Below are 27,728 nucleotides of genomic sequence, written 5' to 3' on the forward strand. Positions count from 1 at the left end.
GTTCAATAATTAGAAATCTCCGCTACTATTCAGTTTTCATTGGTTGGAAGCGCTACCTTCCACAAAACACTAGAACATGATTCAGCCAAGTTCCTTGCTACAATAACCTGTTTCTCATTTCTGAGACTAAAACATTATGGCCTTAAATGTCCATATTTCTACCAACATTTTGTTCATGATTGTTTCTTTAACATGAATACCGTTCATGACAGGATTCTTTAAAATGGAAGCTTTCTCTCCAGTGGTTCTATTTTTTTTTTTTGTCCTCCCCAGAATCATTTTTACATCCATATTTCTAGCATCTACCCTCAGCATTCTTCTAGCCTATTTGCCCACCACCCAGTTCCAAAGCTTGGACTTGCACATTTTTAGTTTTTTGTTATAGCAGCACCCCACTTCTCAGTACCAACAACTGTCTTAGTTTGCTTAGGGTGTTGTAAGAAAATGCCATAGACTGTGAGGCTTAAATACAGATATTTATTTTCTCACTGTTCTAATTAAAATAGGGATTAGCAGGTTTAATTCCTGGTAAGGGCTCTCTTGGCTTCTCCTTGTGTCCTCATGTGGACTTTCCTTTGTGTGTGAGCATAGGAAGAGACGTCTCTCCTTCCTCTTCTCATAAGATCACCATTTGTATCAAATTAGAATCACATTCTTATGTCCTCATTGCCCTATGTCCAAATACAATCACATTGCAGGTTAAGGGGTGAATTCTGGCAAGTTGGAGTTGGGGTGGGGGGTGGCGCAGGGGTTATATAACTCCAGAAATCTCAGTCACAGACTCTTTACCTGTCCCTAACATACATATATTAGTTGCCATTAAATTGAATTCCTTCAAGGACATATAAAATTTAATGGTGCAGGACAGCAGAAAACAGGATGAGACTGCAATATCCTATCCTATTGAATATGAGAATAAAGCTCCTATGCAGGCTTAGAGAAAAGTCAGAAAGAATAAAGGGGCAAATGAAAATGGAAAGAATGGTGAAGTTTTATGTTTTTGAGTAAAAATAGTAAAAACCAAACAGTAATACCACCAATAATAATTATATTATGGTTTCGAGTAAGTGTGAAATGCCATAAGTTCATTACGAAGTTAAGTGAAAAATGTTAATATGATAAAAATATAGCTGTAACTACAAACAAGGAAAACATAATAAGGACACATTTTATTCATTAATTTATTATTTGTTAATGACTTCAAAAAGTAAAAGCCAAGACACAAGGATATTTTGTTTCTCTCACTAATTTTAATGTCTGTATACAAGGTTTAGATATTTAGTTTTAATTTGTTTAAGCTGGAAGGAAAAAAACACACACAAAGAAATATAGGACAAGTTCTCCTGGAGAACTATACCCAAAAGAGGAACATTAGCACTGATGGTAACTCAGGATAAAAAGGGAGAATGAGATCCAAGAGTAAATTAGCTGTGTTGTTACATAAATAGAATTTAGTTAGAAATAGAGCTACTACTCTATTTCAAAGATATGAAATAGCAAATATCCTGACAAAAAGGTTAACATACTCTTGTTCTTACTGTGTAGGACATGAAACAACAACCAATTACATATCTTTTAAAACTACTTGAATAAGCAATACTTACATAAAACATAGCTCAATATATCAGATGAGAAAATGGCTTAATACTGGTAATCATTCACACCGTTATAGAGTACATAAATTCTGGGAAAGACATCAGTTTCAAAAATTAAAATGTAATGAATGACAGTGACATAAATTTATCTGAAAATAATAGTAAAATTTTCTTATAAAAATCAAATAACCGGACAGGCGTGGTGGCTCATGCCTGTAATCCCAGCACTTTGGGAGGCCGAGGCAGGGGGATCACAAGGTCAGGAAATCGAGACTGTCTTGGCCAACGTGGTGAAACTCCATATCTACTAAAATACAATTAGCTGGGCATGGTGGCGCATGCCTGTAATCCCAGCTACTTGGCAGGCTGAGGCAGGGGAATCGCTTGAACCTGGGAGGTGGAGGTTGCAGTGATCTGAGATGACACCACTGCACTCCGGCCTGGTGACAGAGCAAGGCTCTATCTCAAAATAAATAAATAAATCCAATAACCAGGCTGGGTGCGGTGGCTCATGCCTGTAATCCCAGCACTTTGGGAGGCTGAGGCGGGTGGATCACCTGAGGTCGGGAGTTTGAGACCAGACTGACCAACACGGAGATATCCCGTCTCTACTAAAAATATAAAATTAGCCGGTCATGGTGGCGCATGCCTGTAATCCCAGCTAATCAGGAGGCTGAGCAGGAGAATAGCCTGAACCTGGGAGGCAGAGGTTGAGGTGAGCCAAGACTGCGCCACTGCACTCCAGCCTAGGCAACAAGAGCAAAACTCTGTCTAAAAAAAAAGAAAAAAAATCCAATAACCAGTGGCTCGTGATCTCATTGACTGCATAACCAAGTCAGCAGTCCTAAGAGAGAGATGATTTTGGAGTTAAATGAGATTAGTTAAACCAAAGAAGGTCTGCTGATTGTTGAAATGCCCAAACCTAGTAAGTCAACTCTGAGAGGGAATAAAAAGAAAAATAATGATAATAGATTAAAAAAACAATTGAAGCCATGTTAATATATAGTTGTAAATTCTCTTAATGTAAGTTCAGTGGTCATTTTTTCTCCCCTTTTAAAGGTGTTTGACAAATTTTAGAGTGATACTTTAAGAGAATGATAAATTTTAAGAGACTTACTGGGTGAGTAGTTTTATCAAATATTTAAAAGAGTTCTCTTCATTTGGATCCTGGTTGGTATAGCCTGCAGGTAAAAAGACTGCTTAAAGGAACTGGTTATATTCCAATATAACACACATACACACTATATATATATAGTGCCCAGTATATAGTGTATATACTATATATACATATATTGTGTGTGTGTGTGTGTATATATATATATATATATAGTGTGTTATGTAGTGCATGTGTGGGCATATATAGTATACATCACACACATATACATCACACACTATATACACACATATAGTATATGTGATATGTATAGTATACATCACACATACACTATATACACTATATGTGTATATACACTATATGTATATAGTGTGTGTGTGTGTGTGTGTGTGTTATGGTGGAATATAACCAGTTCCTATGTATGTGTTTTTTTGGGGGGAATATGTTGTATCAAAATAAAGTAGAAATTTAAAGAGAAGTCAACAATTGGATGAAAATGGAAAGGAGATCACACTTCTATCATTTAAAACAAAACAAAACAACATTACACAAAATGATGAGCTGTAAGACTGTAAAAATACATTGTATCTGACTAGGAGTGCTAACTCTGTGGAGGAAAATAAGTAAGTATAGATATCACAAGCAAAGAATTACAATGCAGAAAAGATATTGAAGTAATATTACAATTAAAAAACTGAATAGTCAAAAGAGCAATAATACAAACATCAAAAGCTATTGTAAACAAAACATGCCAGGATGAGAAACTCATGAAAAAAACTTTTTAACATAAAAAGGAGAAATATTTGGCAACATCTAACAAAGCTATAAGTATATATCAGCTATGACTAAGCAATTCTACGTCTACATACAGAATGACCATGAAGTCTAAAAACAGACTTTAAGAGAGGGAGATACTGAATTGCCTTGATTACCTATTAAATCCATCCACAGTATTTTCCTGTGAAAATCAGAAATAAAAAACCACTTTATACATTTATTTCAGTCAAATGATTTCTCACCAGTGTAAATTTTCGGTTGGCAAGTAAGATGCCCAACAACACTAAAGGAATTCCCACACTCCTTACATTCATAGGGTTTATCATCAGTATGAATGCGCTGATGTTTGGTAAAGGATGAACTATGTCTAAAGGCCTTCCCACATGCCTTGCATTCATAGGGTTTTTCTCCAGTATGAATTCTCTGATGTTCTGTAAGGGCTGAACTATGTCTAAAGGCCTTCCCACATACCTTACATTCATAAGGTTTCTCACCACTATGAATTCTTTGATGTTGAATAAGGGCTGACGTAAGTCTAAAGAACTTTCCACACTCCTTACATTCATAAGGTTTTTGACCACTGTGAATTCTTTCATGTCGAGTAAGTTCACTACCTACTCCAAATGCTTTCTCACATTCTTTACATTTATAGGGTTTTTCACCAGTATGAATCCTCTGATGTCTAGTCAGGGATGAACTATTTCTAAAGACCTTTCCACATGCTTTGCATTCATAGGGTTTCTTACCAGTATGAATTCTCTGATGACGAGCAAGTTCTCTACATACTCCAAAAGCCTTCCCACATTCCTTACATGCATAAGGTTTCTCACCAGTGTGAATTCTCTGATGTTCAATGAGCTGTGAACTAATTCTAAAAACCTTCTCACAGTGCATACATTTGTAGGGTTTCTCACCAGTATGAATTCTCTGATGTTCGGTAAGCTGTGAATGAAATCTGAAGTCCTTGCCACATTCCATACATTTGTAAGTTTTCTCATCAGTATGGATTTTCTGATGTCGAGTAAGTTGTGCATGCACTCTAAAGGATTTCCCACAGAATGAGCATTCAAAGTGTTTCTCACCATCATGAACTCTTTGAAGTGGAGTAACTTTTCCAACTCTTTCAAAGGTCCTTCTGTATTCCTTACATTTATAGAACTTCTCATTATGAATTTTCTGGTATACATTAAAGTCTTTATAAAAACTACATGTATTCCCATATTCCATATATTTACAAGGTTTCACACCAGTATGAATATTCAGTTGTAACATACTGGAGTTATCTATCCCAAAGGTTTTCCAACATTGATTACATTCATAGTTTTTTCCACCAGTATGTATTTTCTGATATTCATCAAACTCTAAGTCACAACTGAAGACCTTCTCATATTCCTTGTATTCATAGGGCTTCTCACTGTCATGAGTTCTCCGAGGTAAAGTAAGAGATTCATGAGTTTTGTAACTGGGCACATTTTCAGAGATGATTTTCATTTGACTGAAATATCCCACTTCAGGTCCTTGTAAGTCAATCTTGCTTTTGCTTTGCCAGTCATTTCTGAAAATGGAACCTTCAAGGCCACATAACTTGCTACTTTCCATTACCTCCCACTGAGAACCAGTGTTTTGAATAATATCTTTTCCTACAGATAAATGCTTAGTCTCATTCCTGGACTCCAAATCTGAAAGAAAGGAAAAAATAATTTTCATGTACTACAAAAATAAAACAGTTATAGAAAGAAGAGACAATTTAAGAATAATTCACCATATACATGAATTGGTTAAAATACTGTCATGAAAGATAAAGAGAGCTCACAGAGTAACAGCAGAACATAAAGATTATGAGGATTGTGATAAAGGTAACAGATTAAGTCAGTGGATCTGAAATTTGTGTGTTGGTCATCACCTGGTAAGCTCATTGGTTAAACAGAATCAAAATCTGTAGATGTAGAACTAGTCATTAGCATCTTGTAGAGGTAATGCTAACGCAGATCAAAATTTGATAATCCATATATACTAACACTTTTGTGGTTTTCCTCCCCAAAAATAAATTTTACCGAGGATAATAACAAGGTGCAGTTTGTTAAGACCTCATTTTGCCTGGGCGTGTTGGCTCATGCCTGTAATCCTAGCACTCTGGGAGGGCAAGGTGGGTGGGTTACCTGAGCTCAGAACTTTGTGACCAGTGAAACCCTGCCTCTACTAAAATACAAACAGCTGGGCGTGATGGCATGCGCCTGTAGTCCCAGCTACTTGGGAGGCTGAGGCACAAGAATTGCTTGAACCCAGGAGGTGGAGGCTGCAGGGAGCTGAGATTGCACCACTGCACTCTAGCCTGGGCAGCAGAGCGAGAGTCCGTCTCAAAAAAAACCACCTCATTTTAACGCATTCTCCTAATCATTTTTCATCTCCTAGATCAAAACAAATTTCCTATCATTTAGAGCTATCCACAGGACATTTCATTTCACATCAATGGTCTCTTTGTATGCCAGCTTCTTTTCTTTGTTAAAGTCTCAAGATACCCTCAGAAAGGGCATATTAGTTGACCCTAAATAACTTCATTTCTGTTTCTAATCCCATATCTAGTGCCTTACCCTCATATATATTTTTTTCAGTTGTGTATTCAATACTTTTCTCTTACACCATTTACTTCCTTATTCCTTAAATTCCACAAGGACAAATGTAATAAATTTTCATGTGCCAATGTATAACAAGACCTAAGGACATAGTATATGATAATTAATTAGAGGAAAAGTAAATCACTGTATGAATGAATCTAAATAAAAATAAAAGTATATATACAAAGATAAGTCACTAGAAAACAATAATTATCAAAATAATTATGTAACTATAAGAATAATGCCAGTTACCAATGCCTCCCAACCCTCACATTGTATTAGTGATTACATATGTATATTTATAATACAGTAAGATACATAAATATGGCGAACATTCATATGTATTTATTTTCCAACTGCTTCTCCACCTACACATATTGTCCACCACTATTGCTTATTCCCTCTTATGCAGAGCCATGATTGACATGTGGAATGAAGAAATACAATCGGGATGTGTTATTTACTTCTCTTCAACAGCATATTTACATTTACTCCGCCGTCCTCCTAAAACCTTCCTCTATTTTTTCTTTTATCTTCTTTTACAGATATTCCTTTCCATTTTCTTATAGCAAAAGTCAACTAATGCTGTACTTTCCAAAAATATATTTCAGATATTAAAATAATATCTGAATATAATTATAACTACTGTTAGACTTACACAGTTCTGAGCAAGGGCTTATGTGTGAAAAGGAGAATATGCTAACAGAATCATATGAAGAAGGTGGTCTAGGTAGACAAGATTGGAAGGCACTTTGTAGCAAAGGATTTTATGGAGATCATCTGGAGGCCAACAGTGAGAGAAGGGAATGCCTGAGGAAAACTCAGAGCAACACATAAACACTGCATGATAAAGGGCAAGAATAATTTTCTGTGACTTAATTATGTATAAGATGAAATAATGCAGGCATCAATATCTGACGACAACATTAAAACCAGATTTGAGTGCCAGTATCAGTAAATCAAAAGAAGTTTCAGTTAGAAATAAAGAAGCTCTCTACTAGGCTGGGTGCAGTGGCTGTAACATCTGTAATCCCAGCATTTTGAGAGGCCAAGGTGTGCGGATCACTTGAGGTCAGTAGTTTGAGAACAGCCTGGCCAACATGGCGAAACCCCGTCTGTACTAAAAATACAAAAAAACTTAGCTAGGCACGGTGGCACATGCCTGTAATCCCAGCTACTTGGGAGGCTGAGGCAGGAGAATCGCTCAAACCTGGGAGACGGAGGTTGCAGTGAGCTGAGACTGCGCCACCACACTCCAGGCTGGGCAACAGAGTGAGACTACGTCTTAAAAAAAAAAGAAGCTCACTATTAAATAACTGTTGAGTCAATGTGGAAATGTAACTGAAATCACAAAGTTTGTAGAGAACCATGATGTTGAAAACATTTCTAACTGACATCTATGGAACGCAAATACATTTGTCTCATAAAAAGTAAAAACTTAAATGCTTTTTTTTAAAAAAGTAAAAATAACCAATGTATAAAGAACAGTGACCTAAAGAAAAGGTGAGGAATTAGCAAACAATCACTAGGTGATGAAAACATACACAAAATGTTATTAAGACTCCTATGCTAATAAAGCTGAAAATGTAGACTAATGAATGAATTTCTTGGTAAAGGAATATTTAAAACCAACCCAAAAAGCAACAATAGTTGGAAAAAAACAAATTCCTGGAATGAGATAAAATGTTCACTCACTCCATGAAACAGAAAAATCATAACCATGACTTATTGTCCTTGTTATTGAAATAAACCAGATAATAAGCCAGGAATCCTAGAACAAAGACCTGAATCATGATCTGGACCAGGGGAGGTATGAGATGTAACCTGTAATGTTTTGCCAGAAAGAAAAAAGTTTTACAACAGTGGGTCACATCAAAGGGACACAAAAATAGTTTGCGGGAGCTAAAGTGCCACCATTTTGACAATACAAGAGTCAAATGAGGGGAAAAAAGTTTATGTACTGAAACATGCTAAACTAAACAAAACCAGAAAAATGCACTCATATCCAATTCAATGCTGGGTCTGGGATAGGGAGGGTATGGAATGAGCCTTGGATAAGCTTTGGACAAAAAGTGAGAATAAATTCAAAGGTTAAAGGATAAAGCCAAAGCACACAGAAATCACCATAAGAAACATGGTATCAGTATATCAAAATTTCATCCAATATTCATACAGCTGGACATCAAAAATCAGACTCTGGTGGGCTAATGTATACTGAACCAATAAAATCAATAAACATAATGAGACTTAATAGAAGGTATGAAAATTTCTAGTGCACCATTTGAGGTGGCTACTTACTTACAGTAATATAAAAGACATATAATAAAAAAAGCCTCTTTGCCTTTCCTACTAGAATTACAAAAGTTTACCAAAGAACATGACAGCAACTAATATATAAAAGGAATGACAAATTGAAACACACTGATTCCAATGAGGACTTCCAATTGCAAAAACATTAGGTGAACCACTGAAAAGGAACTGTGTATCTATAAAATGCCAAATTAAGACCACAGAGATTGGTTTCTGACCACACTGTCTGAATTAGCTCTTTCTCCATCACACACCATCCCTTTATTCTTATACATATCACTATATATGTTCTCTACTTATCTGTTTACTTGTTTATTATACATCTCAAGAACTAGTATGTCAATTCCATGAGAGCAGGGTCTGTATTGGTCTTGGTCACCATTGTACCGATATCTGTCTCAATGTAGACCTGAATAAATATTGAGAATATGAATGAGCATTTTTTTTGGTCAATATATACATACATAAGTCTAAATACAAGATGAACTGGAAAACAGTTGGTGGCACTGAAGATCTTAATTTCCTCCAAGTGCCAGGCTTTTGTTTCTTTTTTTAAAACAAACAAACAAAACACAGTCTGGGCTGGGTGCAGTGGCTTACACCTGTAATCCCACCACTTTGGGAGGCCAAGGCGGGCAGATCACGAGGTCAGGAGATTGAGACTATCCTGGCTAACACGGTGATACCCCATCTCTACTAAAAATACAAAAAATTAGCCGGGCGTGGTGGCATGCGCCTGTAGTCCCAGCTACTCGGGAGGCTGAGACAGAATGGCATGAACCCAGGAGACAGAGGTTGCAGCAAGCTGAAATTGTGCCACTGCACTCCAGCCTGGGTGACAGAGCGAGACTGTCTCAAAAAAATCAATAAATAAAATCAACAACAACAACAACAACAACATCAAAGTAAAAACCCACAGGCTTTTGAAGGGATTTTCCCAACAGAATCACAGGGGCTAATCTCCCTCCTGGACCAGATAGGCTTTGTGCTTTGGCAATGACTTTCTATCACTGATTGGCCATCACTCACCTGGCCCTGTCTTCTTTCACATCCCATAAACTCTATAGAGCAACTTCCCTTCCTCCAGTAAGGTGATCCCAATTGGATTAGAAATGGAAGACTGCTTACAACAAAGAAATGTAACAATGTTTTTTTTATTATAGCCAATTTTTAAAATACAGCTTTGAGAATTGGCTAAAGTTTTACTAAATAAAATCAAAATTATATTGATAAAGATGTCAGAAAAGAGAAATGTGAGGGAACTGGAAAAACATTCACCTTAGAGTAACCACAGAATTATCAAGTATAAAGAGACTAGACAGGTAAAGAAAGCTCTTATGTTATTTAAACCCATACTAATTCTTTGTCTGGAGAAGCAGTATAATAGTTAAAAAATACTGTCTTTGGTGCCAGATTGCCTGGGTGGAAAGCCTACCTCTGCAATTAAGTGGCTGTGTAGCCTTGCAGAAGTACCTAAATACTCTCTGTTGTAAGCAACCTCTTCTGTACAACAATAATAGAAATAGCACTTATATCACAGAGTTATTGTAAGAATTAAACAAGTCCTTTTTTTATGAGATGGAGTCTTGCCCTGTTGCCCAGGCTGGAGTGCAGTGGCGCAATCTTGGCTCACTGCAACCTCTACCTCCCGAGTTCAAGCGGGTTCCAGCAATTCTCCTGCCTCAGCCTCCTGAGTAGCTGGGACTACAGGCACATGCCACCATGCCCAGCTGATTTTTTTATATTTTAGTAGAGATGGGGTTTCACCGTGTTGCCCAGGTTGGTCGCGAACTCCTGAGCTCAGGCAATCCACCCACCACCTCGGCCTCCCAAAGTGCTGGGATTACAGGCATGAGCCACCACGCCCAGCCAAGAGTCAATTATGTAAAGTGCTTAGGATGGGGCCAAGTAGAAGGCAAGAACTATGGAAGCTGAGAGGAAAGTTAGTAACTTTCTGAGCTATTAAAAGGTCCTTGGTGGAATACTAATTTAATGTTAAATGTAAAGTTCTTTAGCCATAAAGCAGGTGGGAGGAAATGAATATGAACTCTTTATCAATCCATCAATATATAAATTGTAGAGATTCTTTTAACGATTATAACAAATCAGGACACACAGTATGTTAAAAGTTCTCCCAGAAGGCAGGTAAGAATATAAAGTATTTATAGCAATTCTGACCTCAAACACAATGTACAGGTTGTACATGCCGAATCTACAATCTGAAATTCAGCTACAAAATCCTAAACTTTTTGAGCACTGACATGATGCTACAAGTGAAATACACATAACTACTTAACACAAACTTTGTTTCATGCACAAAACTATTAAAAACATTGTATAAAATTACTTTCAGTCTATGTGTATAAAGTGTACATGAAACATAAATGAATTTTGTGTTTCAATTTGGGTTCCATCCCTAAGATGTCTCATTATGTATAAGCAGATATTCCAAAATCTGAAAAAAAATCCCAAATCCAAAACACTCTCATCCCAAGTATTTTGGATAAGGGATACTCAACCTGTAATGTCTCAATGATATGCTATATGTGTCCCATAAGTCAAATCCAGCTCCTTGGTATCAAAGAAGGTAGAAATTATATGAAGGGCCTAAGAAGGTAAGAATATCATGAAGAATGTTAAAGACTAATGGAGATGTCATTTGCAACACAACAATACTGAAAGCATGCCTTTGAAATCAGTTCACCTAGTTTCTTAAAACATAGCCTTGAGGACGGCGCAGTGGCTCACACCTGTAATCCCAGCACTTTGGGAGGCCAAGGTGGGCGAATCACAAGGTCAGGAGTTCAAGACCAGCCTGGCCAACATGGTGAAACCCTGTCTCTACTAAAAATACAAAAAATTAGATGGGCATAGTGGCGGGCTCCTGTAATTCCAGCTACTCTGGAGGCTGAGGCAGAAGAATCACTTGAACCCGGGAGGCAGAGGTTGCAGTGAGCCAAGATCATGTCACTGCACTCCAACCTGGGTGACAGAGTGAGACTCCATCTCATAAACAAAACAAAACATAGCCTTGAGTTCACTGAATATCAGTTGATAGTCTAGAGAGTATATTCTAAGTTATTTAAGGCAGATAAATTTACCCAGTGAGAGTAAGTTGCTGTAGTTCTCCATCATCACATCCCAGTACAAGTTCCTCTGAGCAGAATCCAGATATTCCCATTCCTCCTGAGAGAAGTTGATGACCACATCCCTGAGTGTCACCAGTTCCTGAAACAACAAACCCGTACATTACAGGTAAAATTTAAGGAAATATTTTTGAGAAAAAGACAAGAGGAATTGCCTTATAGCAAGGGGATTGGACAGTAAACAAGGAGGCCAAAAGAAGACTGTGACATGGGAAGTAAGGAAATTAGTGCTTCCAAACCAGACTATCATCTTTCAAGACTCCCTTTGATCCACTGAAATCTTTCTGCATACTTATGGGATCTCTTATTTAGCCAACCATGTCTGGAAATTAATAACCAGTTTACAAATTAAAAGAAGTACTATATACAAGCACATTTCATGCTATGTGCCTGCCTCATGAATCATCAATAAAGGTAAGTTTCTATACCGTCATTCCCCTGTACAGGAGAAAAATATCTAACTTTGAAAATGGGGTATGAATAAAATTAAAGATTTCTTGTAGCTCCAAGTTCATTACTATGTGACATATTATTTCACATTATATAATAACAATTATTACTTCCAGCGATAAAGTTTTTTTTTTTTTTTTGAGACGGAGTCTCGCTCTGTCGCCCAGGCCGGACTGCGGACTGCAGTGGCGCAATCTCGGCTCACTGCAAGCTCCGCTTCCCGGGTTCACGCCATTCTCCTGCCTCAGCCTCCCCAGTAGCTGGGACTACAGGCGCCCGCCACCGCGCCCGGCTAATTTTTTGTATTTTTTTTAGTAGAGACGGGGTTTCACCTTGTTAGCCAGGATGGTCTCGATCTCCTGACCTCATGATCCACCCGCCTCGGCCTCCCAAAGTGCTGGGATTACAGGCGTGAGCCACCGCGCCCGGCCGCGATAAAGTTTTTAGTAAGTGTTTTTTAGTGGCTACAGAGTAGTTTTCTTGTTAAAAATATAATAGCCTTAATTATATTCCAACGTTTAGGTTAGAGAAGGTCTTCTCCAATGCTGCGTCTACAATCATCATCATTTTGTATGACTTGAGGCCATTCAACATCAAATCAATCTACCTGGAAACTCAAGTCTGTGGAGAAGGTCAGAGTATGCCCAATTATCAAACAGATCCATCTGCTTTTTCCCTATCCAAGAATATGACAAGGAAAAGTCTAGGGATTCAACTTTTGCTTTATATCTGCTCTTGACAAAGGACTGAACACATAGGAGTGTTGAACATTCTTTGGGGAATAGAGGCACACAGGAGGGACACTGTGCTGTTAGACTCCAGCCCTTACTAGAAAGCGAAGAAGTATGGGGTTGTGGTACAGGTTCTTTGACAGAGGTGTTTGGTAGGAAGAATCAGAAAAAGGAAATATCACAAAGAAAAGAGAAGTAGTTAACTTACATGGTCCATGGTTAGAACTGTAAAGAATTGGTCAGGGAATTCCACTTCTGGCATGACAGCATGAGGAGCTCCATGGACATGATCCCCAATGAAACTGTAAAAATTATTTTTTAAGAAAGAACCACCATTAAAAGTCTCTGGAAATGGTGCTAGGAATGTACAGCAAATGAAGAAACATTAGTTTAAGAGAATCTCAAAAAACATGTTAAGAACTCTTAGAGTCTAGACTCCGTGAACCAAACCTGAGCCCTCCATTGTCCATTCTATCTTGGTGAGAAAGACTCCACTCCAGACAGGATAGCCAAGGGCATGGGGCTTCTTCACCACTTCTCAACCCTTGCCCCAGTCAGATAGCTATCTTCCTAGGTGGGGTAAGACATCATCACTTTTCACTCTGCCCCAGTTACCTGTTGCGCAGCTGAAGAATGAGGACTCCCTTCCTCTGCCTAGCCCCAAAACATGAAATGTAGGCTTTAACTTGGATGTGGTACTGCTGAGCATACTGAGGTTTCCAACTGTTGTGTCCTGGCTCCCGGGGCAAGTGTTCCATGCCCAAACAGGCAAGCCAGGCAGACCTGGCTGCTGCCCCATCTGCCATCTACCAAGCACTCAGCTCCTAAAGCAGGGGAATCACTCAGAGAGATGCACGCCATTGTCCCTACCTCCAGCACTAGAATGGTGGCTCTGAGATTTTGTCCAGGGGGAGAAGCAGGCCATAGAACAGAGAGTTCTGTATTGCTCCTCAAAGGAACTGAATTGACTTGCAACAGAATGTGGAGAAGTTTAAACCTAAGGGCAATGTCAAAAACTGAAAATTTTGGTGAAGGGCAATTGAGAGGAGGTTGATTAGAGATGTATATTATACTGTAGGGTGGCTTGTTTGCCAGACAGAAACTGAGAGACACCTGGGAAGACATTCTATTGTCAGAACAAATCTCGAACACTGACCTCAAAAAAGCCCCAGTTTGATTACATTAGCCTGTGAAGCAATGTATACTCCAGGGCACTTATGAAAGCAATACTGCCATAAGTTGCAATTAGTGGTGCTTAACAGCTGGGGGTGGTCAGGGAGATGCTCAAAGACAGCCCTGTCAAAACCACTATCATCTAACGCTGTCTGTAAAAGTAGGCAAGGCTGTACTCCCAATGAGCAACATCAGAGATTTTACAACATGGTGGGAATAGACTTCACTAAAATAATCCAGAGAGTCCATTCTCATGCTGCTATAAGGATATACCCAAGACTAGGTAATTTACAAAGGAAAGAGGCTTAATTGACTCACAGTTCTGCATGGCTGGGGAGGCCTCAGGAAACTTACAATCATGGCAGACGGCACCTCTTCACAGGGTGGTAGGAGACAGAATGAGAGCCGAGCTAAGGGGGAAGCCCCTTATAAAACCATCAGCTCCTGTGAGAACTCACCCACTATTACAAGAACAGTATGGGGGAAACCACCCCCATGATTCAATTATCTCCACCTGGTCCTGCCCTTGACATGTGGGGATTATTACAATTCAAGGTGAGTTTTGGGTGGAGATACAAGAGCCAAACCATATTACAGTCACTAAGCAGGTAAATAAGCAAGTACCAATAACAAGCCCTGAGGCAGAGGGTGTGGACAAAAGTACTGGAGTTCCAACAATTGTCTATAATGTCCACTTTCCACAAACAAGAGACAGGCAAAGAAACAGGAAAGTATGATTCACACACTGGAAAAGAAGCCCACAACAGAAACTGCTTGTGAGAGCAACCAGATTTAACAGGCAAAGACTTCAAATTATACATTATAATACATATTCAGGTAGACAAAGGAAACCATAAAGAAGTAAATGTAGGTATGATCATAATGTTGCATCAAAAAGAGAATATCAACAGAGATAAAAATTATTAAAAATAAACATATGGAAATTCTTAAGTTACAAAGTATAATAACTGAAATGAAATTTTCACTAGAAGGACTCAATAGTAGACATGAACTGGCAGAAGTATTAACAAAGTTGAAGACAGATTAATAGCAATGGTATAATCTGATGAACAGAGAGAAAACAAGACAAATTAACATCTCAGAGAAATGTGGGACCCCATTAACCACACTGATATAAACAGGAGTACCAGAAGAGAGGTGAGAGAGAAAAAAAAGGATTTAAAATTTACAAAGAAATAATGGATTTGAAATTCCCAAATTTATTGAAAAACATTAAACTGCACATCCAGGAAGCTCAACAAACACCAAGCAGGATAAATGCATAGAGATCCAAACATAGATGCATCATTATAAAAGCACTGAAATCCAAAGAAAGAAATGGAGAAAATCTTGAAAGCAGTAAAAGGAAACTGCAGGCTAGAAGTGAAACTAATACAAAAGTATTAACTGCTGATTTCTCATCAGAAAAAAATGAAGGCCAGAAGGCAGTGGGATGATATATACAAAGTACTCACACACACAAAATCCTTCAACCCAGAATCCTAAATCCATCAACACATAAAAAAATGAAGTGACCCCCTACCTCACACCACTTACAAAAATTAACTCAAAATGGATTAAAGTCTTAAATATAAGGCCTGAAACTATAAAAATCCTAGAAGAAAACATAGTAAAGCTCTTGACATTGGTCTTGCAATGATTTTTTAAAATATAACACCAAAAGCACCGGAAACAAAAGCAAAAACAAAGAAATGGGACCAAATAAAATTAAAAAGCTTCTACGAAAGAAAGGAAACAATTTAAAAAGTGAAATGACATTCTACAGCATGGGAGAAAATATGTGCAAATTATATATCTGACAAGGGGTTAATATCTAAATATATAAGAAATTCATTCAACTCAATAGCAAAAAAAAAAATCCAATTAAAAAAATAAGCAAAGAACCTGATAGACATTTTTGCAAAGAAGATATACAAATGGTCAACAGGTATATAAAAAGGTGCTCAATATCACTAAACATCAGGGAAATGCAAATCAAAACCACAATGAAATATCACCTCACACCTGATAGGACTGCTGTTATCAAAAAGACAAGAAAGAAAAAAAATGTTGACAAGGATATGGAAAAAAGGGAAGCCTTGTACACTGTCAGGGATGTAAATTGGTACAGTCCTTCTGAAAAAGAATATAGAGGCTCCTCAAAAACTTAAAAATAGGACAACCATACAATCCAGCAATTCTGCTTCTGGCTATACAGCCAAAAGAAATGAAGTCAATAACTCTTTTCCCCCTGCACCAAGATGGAGTCTTGCTCTTTCACCCACGGTGGAGTGCAGTGCCACAATCTCGGTTCACTGCAACCTCCACCTCCCGGGTTCAAGCAATTCTCCTGTCTCAGCCTCCTGAGTAGCTGGGATTACAGGCATGTGGCACCATGCCCAGCTAAGTTCTGTATTTTTAATAGAGACGGGGTTTCACCATGTTGGCCAGGCTGGTCTCAAACTCCTGAGCTCGTGATCCACCCACCTTGGCCTCCCGAAGTGCCGGAATTACAGGCGTGAGCCACCACACATGGCCAAGTCAGTAACTTGAAGAGATATTTGCAGTCCTTTTCATGGCTGCATTATTCATAATAACCAAGGTATGGAAACCTAAGTGTCCATCAATGGATGGACAGATAAAAGTGTGTTTGTATGTGTGTGTATACATATATGTATGTGTCAATTATATATCAGTAAAACAGAGGGGGGTGGTTATCCTTATGCAGCAAACCTATATTTCAAAACTTAAGAACATTTCAAAACTTAAGATGAAAAGACATTTCCAGATAAAAACTGAATTTATTGCTAGCTGACTGACCTTAAAAAGTACTCAAGGAAGCTCTTTAGGCTGAAAACAGGTGATCCCAGGCAGTAATACAAATCCATAAGAAAAAACAAAGAGAAGTGGCCTGGTGCGTTGGTTCACACCTGTAATTCCAGCACTTTGAGAGGCTGAGGCGGGAGGATCCCCTGAGGTTGGGAGTTCGAGACCAGCCTGATCAACGTGGAAAAACCTGGTCTCTACTGAAATAAAAAATTAGCCGGGTGTGGTGATGCATGCCTGTAATCCCAGTTACTCGGGAGGCTGAGGCAGAACAATCACATGAACCCAGGAGGCAGAGGTTGCGGTGAGCCGAGATCACGCCATTGTACTCCAGCCTGGGCAACAAGAGCGAAACTCCGTCTCAAAAAAAAAAAAAAAAAAAAAAAAGAGAAGCAAGCCAGTTTTATGTAATTATAAAAGACAGTATACATATATATCTCTTCTCCTCTTAACTGATATACAAATTTTATGAAACGTGTACTTATGTATTTATTGGGCCCATAACATACAGAAATGTAATATATTTGCTAATAATAACACAAGGCAGGGGAAAGCAAAGTTGTACTGGGCTAAGGAAATGAATCCAGATGGTAACTCGAATCCATCTGGACCAAATGAGGAGAACCCAAAGTGAGAAATCAGATTGATAAAATAAAAGTTATAAATGTATAAAGGTTCTCCTTTCTTCTCATTTTTTTTTAAAAACATAGACTTATATAAGGTAAAAATTACAACAACGATTGGTTGAGTTTGAAACATCTGTAGATATAATGTGAAGACCAATATTACTATAAGAGAAGATGAAAGGAAATAAGAGTTATATAGGAGTAAATTTCTCTATCTCACTTGAATTAAGCCAATATAAATCAGAAGCTGTTTCTGAAGTAAGATATTTGGCAGAATAAATCTCTAAGCAGCAAAGTGTTCAGGGTGCTGCTCGGCTTCTCTTAACTACTCAGAGTAAAATGTGAGAAGAAACAATACAAAGATGGGATTTATAACACGGAAGCAAAATATAGAGATTTGAAAATTCTCAGCCTAAGCATGTAAATAAAAAGGTATTTAGGAAAGTAAACCAAGGGTGTGACCAAGTGACTTTCTGATCAGAGTGTGGCTAGAAAGAAGCCAGGTGTTTTCATCATGACAATAGGAGAATGAACCCAATGGCACTTCAGAGAGCTTCAAGGCTGCTCCTCCCATCACAGGCCCACAGTGCGAGGGCCTTGAAGGCAGGATGGTTTCCAGGGAAGGGCGTAGAACACTCATGGAACTTTGGGGCTTGCTGCCCGGGGCTGCCTCAAGTCTCTGCTCCCCACATCCCGGCACAGTGCTCCTTGGCTGCCGTAGTTGTGGCTCCAGTGGGCCCAGGTGCAGTTTAGTCCCTGCTCTGGAGGGCAAAGTGGTGAACCTCAGCATCCACATGGTACTGATTTTGCAAGTGTGCAGAGTGCACAAGATGTGGAAGCATGGCATCCTTCAAAGAGATTTCTTTTTTTTTTTTTTTTTGAGACAGACTCTCACTGTATTGCCCAAGCTGGAGTGCAGTGGTGCGATCTTGGCTCACTGCAACCTCCGCCTCCCCGGCTCAAGCAATTCTTTTGTCTCAGCCTCCCAAATAGCTGGGATTACAGGCACGTGATGCCTTGGAGAGCCTCAGGGCCTAGACAGAGACCTACTACAGAGGCAGAGCCACTGCAGACAGTCCCCCCTAGGGCATTGTCCAGTGGAGTCATACAGGCTGTGCCACTCCCCAAACCCTAGACCTGTAGAGCCAGCAGCATGCAACATGGGCCTGGGAGAGAGCCAGTGGCACCTGACTGCAACCTATGAGAGCTGCAGTATGAACTGTGCACACCAAAGCCATGGTGGCAGGGACCCTTCGGGCCTTTGGGGTCCAACCCCCATCCCAGTGTGTCTGGAACATGCGACAAGGAGTCAAAGATGATTATTCTCCAGGCTAAAGGTTTATTGTTGTTTGCCCTGTTCAGTTTTGGACCTACTTGAGACCAGTGACCCATACTTTCTTATTTATCTGTTTTGGAATAGAAATGTCTGTCCTGGCCGGGTGCAGTGGCTCATGCCTATAATCCCAGCACTCTGGGAGGCCAAGGCAGGTGGATCATCTGAGGTGGGGAGTTCAAGACCAGCCTGACCAACATGGAGAAACCCCATCTCTACTAAAAATACAAAAAAATTAGCCAGGAATGGTGGTGCATGCCTGTAATCCCAGCTACTCGGGAGGCTGAGGTAGGAGAATCGCTTGAACCTGGGAGGCGGAGGTTGCGGTGAGCCGAGATCGCACCATTGCACTGCAGCCCAGGGGAAAAAAAAAAAGAAATGTCTGCCTTATTCCATTATTATTCCATTGTAGCTTGGAAGCACGTAACTAGTTTGGTTTCACAGGTACAGGACTAGAGAGCAATTTGCCTCAGGATGAATCACATGATTTAGATAATACCTAGATGAGACTCTGCCCTTTAAGTTGACTTTAAAGTTTATGCTGAAATGAGTTTTAATACTTTGGGGGCTATTGGAGTGAAATGAATGTATTTTGTACATGAGAAAGACATGAATATAGGGGGGGTCCAGGGGCAGAATGTAACATGTCCTCTCCAAAATTCAGGTGTTGCCAATGTGATAGTATTAGAAGGTGGAGCCTGGCCGGGCGCGGTGGCTCATGCCTGTAATCCTAGCACTTTGGGAGGCCGAGGTGGGCGGATCACGAGGTCAGGAAATCGAGACCATCCTGGCTAACAGGGTGAAACCCCGTCTCTACTAAAAAACTACAAAAAAATAGCCGGGCGTGGTGGCAGGTGCCTGTAGTCCCAGCTACTCAGGAGGCTGAGGCAGGAGAATGGCAGGAACCTGGGAGGCGGAGCTTGCAGTGAGCTGAGATTGTGCCCTCCAGCCTGGGCGACAGAGCAACACTCTGTCTCCAGAAAAAAAAAAAAAAAAAGAAGGTGGAGCCTTTAAGAGGTGATGAGGGGCTCCTCCCTTTGTGAATGGGATTACAGCCTTCATAAAAGAGGCTCAATGCAGACTTCCTTGTCCTCCCTTTTGCACGTGAGGACACACGTCCTTTCTGGAGGATGCAGCATCAAGGCACCCTTGGAAGAGGACATTTGAACCTGATGATGCCTTGATCTTGGACTTCATAAACTACAGAACTGTGATACATTTCTGTTCTTTATAAATCAGGTATTTTGTTATAGCAGCACAAACAGACTAAGAAAGTTGCCTATGGGTGCCAGGCGCGGTGGCTCACGCCTGTAATCCCAGCACTTTGGGAGGGTGAGGCAGGTGGATCATGAGGTCAGGAGTTCGAGACCAGTCTGGCCAACACAGTGAAACCCTGTCTATACTAAAAATACACCAAAAATTAGCCAGGCATGGTGGTGTGCGCCTCTAATCCTAGCTACTCGGGAGGCTGAGGCAGGAAAATCGCGTGAACCCAGGAGGCGGAGGTTGCAGTAAGCCGAGATCACACCACAGCACTCCAGCCTGGGCAACAGAATGAGATTGTGTCTCAAAAAAAAAAAAAAGTTGTCTATGGGTGACTCAGCTGCAAAGCTGCAAGGAGATTGAGAGTAAGACGATGGAAAAAACGGTCAAGCCGAGAACCAAATCAGGAACACAATCCCATTTACAATTGCCACTAAAAGAATAACATACCTAAGAATACAGCTAACCAGGGAGGTGAAAGATCTCTACAATGAGAACCACAAAACACTGCTCAAAGAAATCAGATGACACAAATGGAAAAACATGGTAGGAAGAATCAATATCATTAAAATGGCCATACTGCCCAAGGCAATTTATAGATTCAATGCTATTCCTATCAAACTACCAAGGACATTCTTCACAGAACTAGAAAAAGCTATTTTAAAATTCACATGGAACCAAAAAAGGGTCTGAATAGCCAAGGTAATCCTAAGCAAAAAGAACAATGCTGGTTACATCACACTACCTGACTTCAAGCTATACTACAAGGCTACAGTAACCAAAACGCAATGGTTTGGAAACAGACACACAGACCAATGGAATAGAATAGAGGACCTAGAAAGTCACACACCTACAACCAACTGATCTTTGACAAAGTCAACAAAAATAAGCAATGAGGAAAGGACTCCCTATTCAATAAATGGTGCTGGGATGACTGGCATATGCAGAAGAATGAAACTGCACCCGTACTTTTCAACATATACAAAAATTAACTCAAGTTTGATGAAAGCTTAAATGTAAGAACTAAAACTAAAAATCCTAGAAGAAAACCTAGGAAATACCCTTGTAAACATCAGCCTTGACAAATAATTTGTGACTAATTCCTCAAAAGCAACTGAAACAAAACAAAAATTGACAAGTGAGACCTAACTAAAGAGCTTCCGCTCAGCAAAAGAAATTATCAACAGAGTAAACAACAACCTACAGAATGGGAGAAAATATTCACAAACTATGCATTTAACAAAGGTCTAATATCCAGAATCTACAAGGAATTTAAACAATTCAACAAGCAGAAAACAGTCCCACTAAAAGTGGGTAAAGGATATGAACAGACCCTTCTCAAAAGACATACAAGCAGCCAACAAACATACTTTTTTAAATGCCCCACACCACTAATCATCAGAGAAATGCAAATCAAAACCACAATGAGTTAGCCATCTCATATCAGTCAGAACAATTATTGTTAAATAGTCAAAAGTAACAGATGTTGGTGAGGCTGCGGAGAAAAGGGAATGCTTACACACTGTTGGTGGGAGTGTAAATTAGTTTAGCCACTGTGGGATGCAGTTTGGAGATTTCTCAAATAACTAAAAATAGAACAACCATTTGACTCAGCAATCCCATTATTGGGTACATACCCAAAAGAAAATAAATCATTTTACAAAAAAGACACATGCACTCATGTTCATCACAGCACTATTCACAATAGCAAAGACACAGAATCAACCTAGGTGCCCCTCAACAGTGGCTTGGATAAAGAAAATGTGGTATACATATGTCATGGAATACCATACATAAAAAAGAACAAAATCATGTCCTTTGAAGCAACATGGATGCAGCTGGAGGCCATTATTCTAAAAGCATTAATGCAGAAAAAGAAAATCAAATACTGCATGTTCTCACTGCTAAGTGGGAGCTAAACACTGGGTACAAATAGACATAAATATGGGAACAATACACACTGCGACTACTAGAGGCGGGAGGGAGGGAGAGAAACAAGAGTTGAAAAACTATTGGGTACTAGGTTCACTATCTGGAAGACAAGATCAATTGTACTCCAAATCTCAGCATCATGCAATATACTCATGTTAACCAACCTGCAAATGTACCCCCTGAATCGAAAATAAAAGTTGAAAAAAGAAACCAAAAACACAATGAAGGAGAAACTAAAACATACCCAAGTAAACAAAAACTGAGGGACCTCATTCGAAGACATGCCATAATAGAAAAGCTAAGGGAGCCCTGCAAGTTGGAATAAAAAGACAGTAGAAAGTAACTCAAAGCCATATACAAAAATGAAGAACAGGCCGGGCGCGGTGGCTCACACCTGTAATCCCAGCATTTTGGGAGGCCAAGGCAGGCGGATCATGAGGTCAGGAGTTCGAGACAAGCCTGGCCAACATGGTGAAACCCCATCTCTACTAAAAATACAAAAATTAGCTGGGAATGGTGGCACATGCCTATAATCCCAGCTACTTGGGAGGCTGATGTAGGAGAATTGCTTGACCCCAGAGGCGGAGGTTGCAGTGAGCAGAGATTGTGCCACCGCTCTCATGCCTGGGCGACAGAGTGAGACTCTGTCTCAAAAAAAAGAAAGAAAAGAAAACAACGATAAAGGTACCTAAATAGGCAAATACAAAAGTCTATTGCATCTTGGGCTTGCAGGTCCTCTTTATTTCCCCAATATGATTTAAAAGACTAACGTGTAAAACAGTCATTATAAACCAATGTTAAAGAGCACACAATGTATAAAAATGTAATCTGTGACAAAACAACATGAAGAGGAGCAGAACTGTATAGGAACAGAGTTTTGGATATAGTATTAAAGCTAAGGAGTATGCAGCACAGTTTTGATTCAACAGGTCTGGAATTTTGTTTGTTTGAGACAGGGTCTCACTCTTTTGCCCCGGCTGGAGTGCAGTAGTGTCTGGAATGTTTAAACCCTGCCTATTCCAAAGAAAGTTGTAGCCCTTGACTAACACCTAGAAGATAAATTCTGGCCCCGGAATAGCCAGCTTTCATTAATTTTAATGTGATCCTTTCACTAGTGGGAAAACAACAACAACAACACTTTTCTGAGTTGTGTGAGTCCATCTAGCAGTCAGTGAACCTGAAAGTGGTCTTGGAGTTCCATGACCAAAGTCTATAAATTCAAACCAGTTATTTGTAAATGTAAAATATTCACTGTAATCTTCAGAACACATGCTAAGAAAACAATCAGCTTATATAAAAGAAATGACAAGGGAATTAAAATGGTACAGTACAATAAGTTAATTAAAACCAAAAGAAAGCCAGGTGTAGTGGCTCATACCACTTATCCCAACACTTTTGGGAAGCTGAGGCAGGCAGATCGCTTGAGCCCAGGAGTTCAAGACCAGCTTGGCCAACATGGTGAAACCTTGTCTCTACCAAAAATACAAAAAATTAGCCAGGCATGGTGGTGCTCACCTGTGGTCCTAGCTGTTGGGGAGGTGGGGGGCGGGGGTGTGTGAGGGCTGGGGCTGGGGTAGGAGGATCACTTGAGCCCAGGCAGTTGAGGCTGCAGTGAGTTGCGATTGCACCACTGAACTCCAGCCTGGGTGATGGAATGATACCTTGTCTCAAAAAAATAATAAAAAAAAGGGCCAGGCCTGGTGGCTTATGCCTGTAATCCCAGCACTTTGGGAGGCCAAGACAGGTACATCACCTGAGGTCGGGAGTTTCAGACCAGCCCGGCCAATATGGTAAAATCCCATCTCTACTAAAAATACAAAAATTAGCCTGGTGTGGTGGCAGGCACCTGTAGTCTCAGCTACTTGGGAGGCTAAGGCAGGAGAAGCGCTGGAAGGAGGCAGAGGTTGCAGTGAGCCGAGATCGCGCCACTGCATTCCAGCCTGGGCAACAGAGCGAGACTGTCTCCAAAAAAAAAAAAAAATTCATATGACATTGCAACAGATTCAGCCAAAACAAAGCTGGAAGACTGATATTTCCCAATTCAGAACTGACTATAAAACCACAATAATCAAGACTGTGGGGCACGGAATATGGATAGATATATTCATCAATGGAATAGAACTGAGTGAAAATTTAAACCAGTGTAGCTAGGGTCAAGTGATTTTTGACAAGGGTGCCAATCTAATGAAATAGAGGAAAGAACAGTCTTTTCAACAAATGGTGCCAGAAAAATTGAATATCCACATGCAAAAGAATGAAATTGCATCACTCCTTAATAACACATAAAAAAAGTAACTGAAAACAGATCAATGACCCAAATATAAGAGCTAAAACTATAAAACTCTTAGAAGGAAATGTAGGGGTAAGTCATCATGAACTTATATTTGGCAATGGATTCTTTTTTTTTTGAGATGGAGTCTCACTCTGTCACCCAGAGTGGGGTGCAGTGGCGCCATCTCGGCTCACTGCAACCTCCACCTCCCAGGTTCAAGTGATTCTCCTGCCTCAGCCTCCTCCTGAGTAGCTGGGATTACAGGTGCCTGCCACCATGCCTGGCTAATTTTTGTATTTTTAGTAGGAGACGGGGTTTCACCATGCTGGCCAGGCTGGTTTCAAACTCCTGACCTCAAGTGATCCACCCATATCTGCCTCCCAAAGTGCTGGGATTACAGTCTGAGCCACTGCATCTGGCCTATATTTGGCAATGGATTCTTAAATGATGACACCAAAAGGATAAGCAGCAAAAGAAAATTTTGATGAATTAGGATGTATCAAAACTAAAAGCTTTTGTGCATCAAAAAATCATTATAGAAGAAACTGATAAGACAGCCTGCACGATGTGAAAAAATATCTGCAAATCATATATCTCATGAGCATTTAACATCCAGAATATATAAAAACTCCTACAACTCAGCCCAACAAAAAGACAAACAGCCCAAGTTAAAAGCTGGCAAAAGACTTCAGTAGACATTTCTTCATAAAAGATGAACAAATGGTCAACAAGTACATGGAAAGATGCTGAAAATCATTAGACAATAGGAAAATAATAACAGAACCATGAGAATAACATCAGCAAGATGGCAGCTGAGGAAGCTTCAATTCCCTATTCTCTATTGAAACACTTAAAAAACAACTAGAGACTAGCTAAAATATCTTTGTAAGGGTCTGGAAATCACTCAAAGACTGTAACTATCAAACAAATGCCCAGTCAGGAGAAAGTCACATTCAAAATGGTAGTGAATTTGTTGATTATGTTACTTGTGCTCTTACTCCATCTCTAGTGCAGCATGGAAGAAGCAGCCCAGTTCCCATTTCCCTCCTTCAGGCCAGAAGGAACAAAGCAGAGCTTATTTGGAACATGCTAATCTGTCTGTGGGCTCCTTGAGGTACTGAGGTACTGGTTTCTGTTTTATCTGATTTTCTTTCTTTTTTTTTTTTTTTTACACAGAGTCTCACTTTGTCATCTAGGCTGGAGTGCAGTGGCATGATCTCGGCTCACTGCAACCTCTGCCTCCCAGGTTCAAGCAATTCTCCTGCCTCAGCCTCCTGTGCAGCTGGGATTACAGGTGCACACCACCACGCCTGGCAAATTTTTGTACTTTTAATAGAGACAGGGTTTCACTATGTTGGCCAGGCTGGTCTCGAAGTCCTAACCTCAAGTGATCTGCCTGCCTTGGCCTCCCAAAGTGCTGGGATTACAGGTGTGAGCCACTCTGACTTTTGAGTTTCAACATGTAAAAGGCTGCACAGCTCAGATCTCAGGCAGGTAAAGGCCACAAAGGACAGTGGTGGGCACTGTGGTGCATCAAAGCTAAAACACTATTAAAACTAGAAATAAGTGCAGCAGCACTGCAGGATATAAGATCAGTATGCAAAACTCAATGATATTTTAATTGCCTGGACACCTGTGGATACTTGGAGCAAACGATTACAGGTGGAAAAATATAACATCTAGGGCCTAAGAAGCAAGGGTGAGACCCTATGAAATTAAGGCATTTGAAAGCAGCTATGCATATTAGGGAAACTGGTAAAAGCATATACACAGGTATAGGCACAGGCATGCTACAGACCCAGGAAAAACGTAAGACCTTAGACTTTCACCCTGAGATGATCCCAAGGCCCTAATTAGTGAAGATCTCCAACGGTCTGCAAAAATTAGGAGAAGTAGCTGTTTCTTCAAATGCCCAGTTTTCAACAAAAGACTGCAAGGCATACAAAGACACAGGAAAACAGGGTCCAATCAAAGGAGCAAAATAAATTACACTTGAAGAAACAAAAGCATTGGAGTAACTAGAAAAAGGCTTTGTAAAAACTGTCTTAAATATGCTCATAGAGCTAAAGGAAAACAGAGAAAGAACTAAAAAGGAAATCACGAAAATGACATATAAATAAGTGAGATATCAACAAAGAGAAATAATTACTTTTTAAAAAACTGGCTGGGTGTGGTGGCTCATGCCTGTAATCCCAGCACTTAGAGAGGCTGAGGCGGGCAAACAACACGAGGCCAGGATTTCCAGACTAGTCTAGCCAACATGGTAAAACCCTGTCTCTACTAAAAAAAAAAAAAATTTAGCTGAGTGCAGTGGTGCACACCTGTAGTCCCAGCTACTCAGGAGGCTGAGGCATGAGAATTGCTTGAGCCTGGGAGGCACAGAGGTTGCAGTGAGTCAAGATCACACAACTGCACTCCAGCCTGGGTGACAGGGCAAGACTCTTGTTGCAAAACAAAAAGAAAAAGAAAAAAATGAAGAATTGGCTCAGAGTGCTCAAACCCTGCACATTCCAAAGAAGAAATTGTCCTTGACCAGCTCCTGGGAGATAATCTCTGAGCAGTTAGAGTATCCTGCCTGATTAACAGAGTCTATGTATATCTGAGGTCTTAGCCATGCCAGATGGCTTTTGTTAACAATGTGGTTTATGGTAAATACCTGTATCCATCTGACTTCTGGGTAGGCTTGACTAAGTAGGTAAGGTCAGTGCACAGAACCTTCATGCCCACATGACTGATCGTCAATAAAAACCCCGGACATGGGCCAGGGCAGTAGCTCACACCTGTAATTCCAACACTTTGGGAGGCAGAGGCAGGTGGATCACTTAAGCCCAGGAGTTCAAGATCAGCTTGGGCAACATGGCAAAACCCCATCTATACAAATAATACAAAAATTAGCCGGGTGTTGTGGTGTGTGCCTGTAGTCCTAGCTACTTGGGAGACTGAGGTGGGAGGATCCCTTGAGGCTGGGAAGTAGAGGCTGCATTGAGCTGTGACCCCACCACTGCATTTCAGCCTGGGTGAGAGAGCAAGACCCTATCTCAAAAAAAAAAAAAAAAAAAAAGAAAAGAAAAAAGAAAAAAGAAAACAAAGCAAAACAAAAAACCCTGGAAACCATGGCTTAGGAGAGCTTCCCTGGTTGGCCACGCTTCATGTTTGTATTCGCACATTGTTGCTGGGAGAATTAGGTGCTGCCTGTGCAACTGCACTGGAAGCTTGCACCTGGTTTCTCCCGGTATTTGCCCTATGCAACTTTTCCCTTTGCTGATTTTAATGTGTACCTTTTCATTGTAATGAAGAATAACTATGAGCATAACAGCTTTTCTGAGTTCTGTGAGTCCTTCTCGCAAATCATTGAACCTAAGACAGTCAAATTGCCTTAATAGAACATTTGCAAATCTGGCTTTTAAAAAATTCATTTCAAGTGCCCATCAAAATTAACTTTATATTTTCATTGCTCTTGATTTACAGAAAATGTATGGGGAATACTAAGAATCTTCACAAACCAGCTTTTTTTCTTCCCTTGCAGATAAGGACTTAAAGTGCCAGGCCTTTATTAAATTCTCTA

General features: G+C 40.0%; 1 protein-coding gene across 11 annotated transcripts in view; it reads right to left on the minus strand.

The window, feature by feature from the left end:
* Positions 1-455: 455 nt before the first annotated feature.
* The window catches only part of ZNF529 (zinc finger protein 529), a 61,931-nt gene continuing 34,658 nt past the window's right edge, over positions 456-27,728 (minus strand). For 6 of the 11 annotated variants that reach the window (XM_011527164.4, NM_001145650.2, NM_001145649.2 and 3 more), the window contains 3 exons: positions 12,947-13,040; positions 11,513-11,639; positions 456-5,165 (listed from right to left, as the gene is read on the minus strand). In XM_011527164.4, coding sequence (XP_011525466.1) covers positions 3,709-5,165; positions 11,513-11,639; positions 12,947-13,040 — 1,678 coding nt within the window. In that variant the 3' untranslated portion in view covers positions 456-3,708. Of the gene's footprint in view, positions 8,821-11,512; positions 11,640-12,946; positions 13,041-27,728 lie in introns of those variants that run through there. The other 5 variants (NM_001352273.2, NM_001352272.2, NM_001321351.2 and 2 more) reach the window with 4 other exon arrangements.

Source organism: Homo sapiens, chromosome 19 (assembly GCF_000001405.40).
Source record: "Homo sapiens chromosome 19, GRCh38.p14 Primary Assembly".
In the NCBI taxonomy this organism is placed as follows: domain Eukaryota; kingdom Metazoa; phylum Chordata; class Mammalia; order Primates; family Hominidae; genus Homo; species Homo sapiens.